Source organism: Homo sapiens, chromosome 12 (genome assembly GCF_000001405.40).
Source record: "Homo sapiens chromosome 12, GRCh38.p14 Primary Assembly".
Taxonomy (NCBI): domain Eukaryota; kingdom Metazoa; phylum Chordata; class Mammalia; order Primates; family Hominidae; genus Homo; species Homo sapiens.
The window spans coordinates 116,454,161-116,461,759 of record NC_000012.12 but is presented as its reverse complement, the minus strand read 5'-3'; the positions used below and the strand labels follow the sequence as shown (position 1 = coordinate 116,461,759).

Below are 7,599 nucleotides of genomic sequence, written 5' to 3'. Positions count from 1 at the left end.
AGTACAGTGCCCTCTTTTTGAATAAGGGCCTCATGTTTTCATTTTACATGGACACCACAAATTAAGTAGCAGTCTTGCCCCCACTATTCCTAGCATCCCCAACCCCATATGCACCCCAAATCTCTCTGAGGAACCCCACGTCTCTGTCAGATGGCGGTTGAAAGCCTTGGGTGAGGTGCTCTCGCAGGCCCAGCTGGCCATGGACTGGGATGGACTTCCTGAGGTTGGCCATGGACTGGGATGGTGCATTTCTTCCACACCCTTCCGACTCTGACCGTGTCAAGTAGTGGAAACTGGAGAAACCGAGGCATAGTGAGGAAGAATGATTTAAACTAGTGCTCACAGGATGAAAGCCAGGACTGGACGAAAGATTTCTTCAGACTCCACCCTAAGCAGGCCGACAACTCTGAAATAGTGCCTCAGAGTCTGACAGAGCTGGGTTCAAGGCTCAGCTTGGCCAACTCAGGCCAGTTGGCTTTCCTCTTGGAGCCTCGATGTGCTCATCTGTTGAATGGGAGTAAAATTCCAGGCACCTAGGACTAAGCTTCATCAAGACAGTGCACTTGAGACTCTTTTGTTAACTTTTTTAGAGATGGAGCCTCACTCTGCCACCCAGGCTGGAGTGCAGTGGCATGATCATAGCTCACTGCGGCCTCAAACTCCTGGGCTCAAGCGATCCTCCTGCCTCAACTTCCCAAGTAGCTAGGACTACAGGTGCACGCCACCACCCCTAGCTGATTTTCTTAGAGACGGAGCCTCGCTCTGTCACCCAGGCTGCAGTGCGGTGGCGTGATCTCGGCTCACTACAACCTCTGCCTCCCAGGTTCAAGTGATTCTCCTGCCTCAGCCTCCCGAGTACCTGTGACTACAGGCGCCCACCACTACCCCCAGCTAATTTTTGTATTTTTAATAGAGACGGAGTTTCGCCATGTTGGCCAGGCTAGTCTCAAACTCCTGGACTCAGGTGATCTGCCTGCCTCGGCCTCCCAAAATGTTGGGATTACAGGCATGAGCCACCGCATCCAGCCTTCTTATTTTTATTTTTTTAGAGATAGGTCTCGCTGTGTTGCCCATGCTGGTCTCAAACTCCTGGACTCAAACCATCCTCCCACTGTGGCCTCCTAAAGCTCTGAGATTACAGACACAAGCCACCAGGCCTGGCCAACGACTTTTATGAGCTGGAATGCCCAGCCTGGGTATGAGGTGCTGCTGCTGTACACAGAAGTATGAGTGTTTGCTTTATCTCCTTGCCCATCTCTGCTTCACGCCTGGATATGTTTCAATGTGTTCACACTTCCCGTCTGGGAATATGAACACCCAGAGGACCAAACCTGGGTGTGCTTATGTCTCTTCGAGTCCGGCGTAGAGCAGACCTGGCTTAATAAGAACCTTGAACCGGGAAGGAGATGGAGGAGTTCCCGCTTCACCTGGAGCAGGCTCCTCTGTTTCAACTCCATAAACTGTGAAGGCGACAAAGCCCTTTCTGTATTTTGCAAGAGATACAGTTTGCAAATGATCTCATTACCCCCACAGCTATGAGCGGAGTTATGCCGGGCCTTTCTAACAAGTAGCAGTAAAACATTTTATAGGCCCCTCTGCCCCCCTCCTCTCCCCCACCGTGTAATTTTCTCTGTTTGGGGTTGGACTTGGTGTTTTCCCTCTTTTCCTTCTCTTTCTCCTTGCACTTTCTCTCATGTTAATTATATTAGTTGCCATGGAAACAGTGATGTCATTGGCACGGGCGCGCTCAATGACATCCAAAAGCACAGTTTATAGCATGGCTCGAAATTTATTCCATGGCTTGAAGCCTTGGGGAGGGGGGTTATATGGCGATTATATCTTGGGCACCATCTGGGCGTGAGGATGGAAAGTGGCAAGAAAGTAGCTGGGTTGGGGGTGGCTTTGCCAGCTTCCCAGAACCCCAGATACTGGGGGCCATTTACATTTGGAGTAGGTGGAGGACACCGTGTATACAATGAAGAATCATTTCTTGGCTTCTCCCAACACTCACTGTCTTTGCAGCACCCTGCCGCACATTTGTCCCCAATTTAGGATTTCAGAATCCTTCATGGAGTGGTGCTTAAAAGTGCTTAACACTGGTGTGTATACGTGTGTGTGTGTGCGTGTGTGTGTGTACGCGGGCCTATGCCTAATGCACTAAAGCCATGCTGTTGGTATGAAAATGTGATCTGCAGCATGCCACGCACGTTAGTTCATACACAGGGTTTGCATACACATGAGCACCCTAATTTGCCCATCTGTACTTCATTTTAGAAGGTACAGTTGCATCCACATGAGTGATTTTTGCCATCCCTCCTGCCCCCCAAGCCTCCCCACCACAGCTCACTTTTTTAGTGAGCTGCCTTTGCTGCAGCTGGAGGCGCAGGGCGGAGGGGAGGGCTGTGCAAAGAGGCATTGGGGCTGTGGTAGAACTTGGGGCACCCTGTACAAGGACACGTGCAGATGTGGGCTCCCCGAGCTCGCCCCCACATCGGGCTTTCCAGTTGCTCTGCGGGAGGTCTGCGTGTCTAGATCTGGCCCTAAGCAGACAGACCCTAAAGTGAGAGCCACTGGGCAGTCCCCTCCTCCTCCCTGGGGGCCCGTCGATGCGTTTTCAGTTCCTGTGGCATCACCTCGAGCTTGGGGAGGGAGGTCTGCAAACCCAGTGTGCAGGGCTAAGCGGGGGCCCCAGGGGTTCTCATTAATTCTGGAGGATTCATGTCTGAGATGGGAAGAACCCAGGGCTCCACAGAAAGGAGGGTTTCGAAAGGCAGGGTGGGAAGACCAAGGGGCACAAGGCACCAGCATGGGAGTCGGGGGCGTGACTGAGGGAGAAGGAAGAAAACCAACTCCCAACAGCTTCAGGGAAACAGACGGACTCAGGGCCCCGGAGGTGGGGAGCCCAAGGCAGAACTTCCGGCACCGCCTGCCCACAGGCCTCAAATAGCGGCCTCCAGCCTCCAGCTCCATCTCAGTCCCAGCTTTCTTGACATTGATTCCCGACAGGACCACTGCAGGGAGCCGCACCCAGGTTCACCTTTAACCCCACCTCGTGTCCAAAAATGTCACTGGACCAAGTGAAGTCACGTGCACAGCCACAAGCCATTGACTGTGACCAGGGGCGTGGCTTCATCTCATTGGCCGGGTTTGGGTCACATGGCACCAGGGAGACAGTATAGAGGATAGGTGTAGCCCTGAGACCGAGGTGGGGATGGGGGTATGGGGGGTGGGGGGGCTGGGGGGATGGAGGGTATGGTGGGACTTTGATGCTTATTTCTGCCCTCATCATTCTTAGGTTTCCCACCAAAGGTACTCGCCCTTATTCATTATAACCTGCAGACCCAGGCCGGATTCTGTTCTGCAGCAGCCCCAATACTTAATCTAAACCTGGGTTTTTCAACCTCAGACCTACACAAAAATGACTGCAGGTGTGGCCAAATGTCCTGCAGGGGTAGCTGTGGGGGATGGGGGTTAAAACCACCCCTGGCTGAGAACCACTGGTCTAAACCATCTCTGCTCCTATTCCTTCCATCCACGTTCCTCCTGTTACTCTCATTTTCTTTCTTGCTAAAACCCTCCATGACTCCATATTATTATTATTAGATCACTTTAGGTCAGCAGTTCGAGACCAGCCTGGCTAACATGGTGAAACCCCACCTCTACTAAAAATACAAAAATTAGCTGGGCTGGCGGCAGGCGCCTGTAGTCCCAGCTACTTGGGAGGCTGAGGCAGGAGAATCCCTTGAACCCAGGAGATGGAGGTTGCAGTGAGCTGAGATCATGCCACTGCACTCCAGCCTAGGCGACAGGCAACAGAGTAAGACACTGTATCAAAAAAAAAAAAAGAAAGAACAAGAAGAACCTCCAGACCCAGTACCCCTGAATAAACCATCGCCCCTGTACCACCTCCAGCTCCTGGTCAGTCTGCTGAACTGGAGATAGGAGCCTCCAGTGGAGGGGCCCAGGGTGCTCTAGGCCCAGAGGAAAGTCTTGGGAGAGCCACTCAGATGGGAAGCAGGTCCCAGTGGGGGAGAAGGGCACCAAGTGGAGAAAGGGGGCAAAGTAGGTCCAGGCAGTGGGAAAGGTAGGTGCAAAAGCATAGTGGCATGACAGGGTGTGGCTTAGGGACACTAAGACCCACAGACTCGTAGTAATAACAACCTCTTAGCACTGGGCTAGGTGCTATGTTGCTTTCTCATGATCAACCTCACAACAGCCCCGTGAGATAGGGGCTAGGAAATTAGTTAATATATACACAAAGCACATGGCCAAATCCCTGGCACACAGAAAGCCCTATATAGGTGTTTGCTATGATATTCATGGTACTGCTACTACTACTACTACTAATAATAATAGGGAGCCATGGAGGGTTTTAGCAAGAGAGAAAATGAGAGTAACAGGGAGGAATGTGGATGGAAGGAGCAGGAGCAGAGATGGTTTAGACCAGTGGTTCTCAGCCAGGGGTGGTTTTAACCCCACCCCCCATCGCTACCCCCACAGGACATTTGGTCTGGAGTCATTTTTGCTGTGACCATGCGAGGGGAGTTGTTCGTGGTGGCATCTAATAGAGGCCAGAGATGCCACTAAACATCTTACAACACAGGACAGTCCCCCACAGCAAATAATCATCCAGCACTGAATGTCAATAGGACTGAGGCTGAAAAACCCAGATTTAGATTAAGTATGGGGGCTGTTGCGGAACAGAATATGGGTTGTCAAAAGGAGGCTCCAGGCAGAACAAGGGCCCTGGGGTGGCCAAAGATTGGAAGAGCCTACTCCCCTCCCTTCCCTCCTCCCGCCAAGTGAGCGCCTCTCCTCCCCATCTGCAGTGTGTGCTGAGGGTGGGGAGGATGGTAGCAGAGAAGGCATGGGTGGGGCTGGCAGGGAGAAGTGCTGGAAAGTCTACAGGCCCTGGCAGACTGGCCAGTGACCTTCTCTCCAGCTCCTGTATCACAGGCTCAACATATTCCTTGAATGGGGGTAGATATCCTGCGTCGGGGTCTGGTTTGCCTCGCGGAACACCCACCCTGGAAATAGGGACCCGTCGCCACTCAGCTTGCAGATCACAAAACCCCAGGGGCAGCTTTGCCCTTCTTCAGTCCTCAGAGTTCCAAATGTGATTTCCTTCAGTAACATAAGCACAGAGGGAAGGGAGGAGGAAAGTGAGTGGGGAAAGAGAGAAACAGCGAGTCAAAACCAGTGAGGACCACCAGGACAGAGCCTGGGAGGGACAGACAGACTCAGCAGGAGAATGAAATGTGGAGAAAGAAAAACACAGACTGAGACTGAGAAAGAGAGATCGAGACGAAGCTGGAGAGGGACAAACGGAGAGTGGTGGAGAAACAACGGAAAACCCACGTAAGAGAGAGCCAGACAGATTGAGAGTGGCAAGAAGAAACAGAAATGGAGAAGGAGCAAAAGAGAGAGAAAGGTTGACGGTGGACGGGCAGACTAAGAGTGTGAGCAAGGGACATCTTTCCTTGCAAACTCCATGGTCCGCTGCCCAGTAACTCTCCAAGGCTTTGCCATATTTCAGCCACGGAACTGGGGAATTGGGAAAGTTTTCTCATCACAGGTCCGGGACGAGTGAGCATTGTTCCCATTATTGCTGGCATTCTCTGCGAACTGGACATTAGCCAGCAGGAAATTCCTGGGACAAATCTTTCCACTCAGAGTTTTTTTAAAACTTTTATTTATTTATTTTAATTTTTTTTCTTTAGGGACAAAAGAAAAAAAAGATCAAGAGGCAAAAAGAAAAAGAAAAAAAGAAATGAACCACCTGATACAGGAAAAACATATCTAGCAACAGCCTCAGTTGGGCCAGGGGAGGCTGAGAAGCCACTGTGTCCGCTGCGCTTCATTCTTCCCCTGGAAGGATTTATGATCTCACACTGCCATGACATCACAATGCGTTGCCATGGGTCCCACTTTATTATCATAAACAAAACGCCGTTCCTTGGGCCACTGCCTGTCTGAGCAGGAGGGGAGAAAAAGCCTCTGGGTAATGTGTTTTCTTGGGAAGGCAGCTTGTTCGGAAGTCTGAAAAGCTGCAAAGATAGTTGTACATACAGTTCCCTCCCTGTAGCCTCTGGACAAGGTTTGGGACGGGAACAAGAAGGATGAAGTCAGCTCCCTGCAGGAGGATCTCCAGCTCCGCGTGTTCTCACTGCCAAAAAGCAGCTTCCCCGGGCCTCCCTCACTGCTCCAAACAATGTTTTTATTCATTCACCGAAAATGCATGGAGTACCTACTGTGTGCTAGACACTGACAGAGCTGGGGCAGGGATCAATGAAAAACGTGACGCCAGCCCCACCCCTTTCAGAATCTTTAATACTTAACAGCCCGCAAATAACATGAATGTGTAAAATTGTAATTTGGGTTAAGTCTGCTGAAGGAAGCAAACAGGAAGCTAGGATGAGAATGGAGGGAAGAGGCTATTTACATGAGCAATCTGGGAGGGCCTCTCTAAGGAGGTGACATTTTAGACCAGACTTGAAGGAGAAGTAGGAATTGGCTGTGAAGGGCAGAGGGAGGTGGCAGTAACTAAGGCAGGACCAGCCACACCAGGAAGAGTGACCGTCGGGATCTAAGTTCCCACCAGGGGCCTCTTCCCACGTATTTTATAGAATTCCTGGGTAGCTGACTCAGATGAGAGGGCTTATTATGAGGAATCATCGTTGTCATGAGTCTGAGCTGAGTAAAGCTTCCGCACCCTGCCACAACCATGCCAGAAAACCCTCATTTCCATTGCAGAACTGTCAGATCGGCACTGTGAAAACAAGTCAGCCAAGAGCAGAAATACCTGTAGGACGCAGAGGGGGCTCTCCCCAGCATAAGGCCATTTTGCAAGAAGCAAATAATGCTCTTAAGCAGCAGGAAGGAGAGAGGGAAGGGAGGGGAGAGAAGCCTTGGGGACAGATGTGGGGGCACTGCCTGTGGGTCAGGAGGCCAGGTGAAGGACAGGTGGGTAAGCCGTCCCCGCCCCTCCCAGGAGATGAACCATGAGGGAGTTAGGACTCTGGATATAGAAGAGAACGAGAGGCCAGGCATGTTGGCTCACACCTGTAATCCCAGCACTTTGGGAGTCTGAGGCAGCAGATCACCTGAGGTCAGGAGTTCAAGACCAGCCTGGCCAACATGGTGAAACCCCGTCTTTACTAAAAATACAAAAATTAGCCAGGCGTGGTGGCAAGTGCCTATAATCCCAGCCATTTGGGAGGCTGAGGCATGAGAATTGCTTGAACCTGGGAGGCTAAGGTTGCCTCCCATGTTCCAAGACCGCACCACTGCACTCCAGCCTGGGCAACAAGAGTGAGACTCTGTCTGAAAAAAAAAAAAAAGAAAAAGAATAGAACGAGAGCTTCTAGATCATCTGAACAATGATGGGGACACGGAGGCCCCAAGTAGAGAAGGAGCTGGCCTGAGGTGGTACGGGAAGTTAGGCGCAGAGCCCTTCCGCTCACTTGCTGTGTGACCTTGGGAAGCTCACTTCACATCTCTGAGCCCCTGTCCCCACTGTAACATGGGAAGAATGCATATAAGGCTCTTTACACTGCTGCAATATATAGAGAGGGTTGTTTTTTGACCCCTACTTCCTGG

The 7,599-nt window shown here is 51.3% G+C and overlaps 2 annotated features.

Moving 5' to 3' along the window:
* Window positions 4,357-4,856: an enhancer, noted in NCBI's record as "H3K4me1 hESC enhancer chr12:116894709-116895208 (GRCh37/hg19 assembly coordinates)". NCBI's record gives its function as "activates a minimal SCP1, AML or CMV promoter by ChIP-STARR-seq in naive H9 embryonic stem cells {active_cell/tissue: H9 hESC(naive)}" and the evidence as "EXISTENCE:reporter gene assay evidence [ECO:0000049][PMID:30033119]".
* Window positions 6,577-7,115: an enhancer, noted in NCBI's record as "H3K27ac-H3K4me1 hESC enhancer chr12:116892450-116892988 (GRCh37/hg19 assembly coordinates)". NCBI's record gives its function as "activates a minimal SCP1, AML or CMV promoter by ChIP-STARR-seq in naive H9 embryonic stem cells {active_cell/tissue: H9 hESC(naive)}" and the evidence as "EXISTENCE:reporter gene assay evidence [ECO:0000049][PMID:30033119]".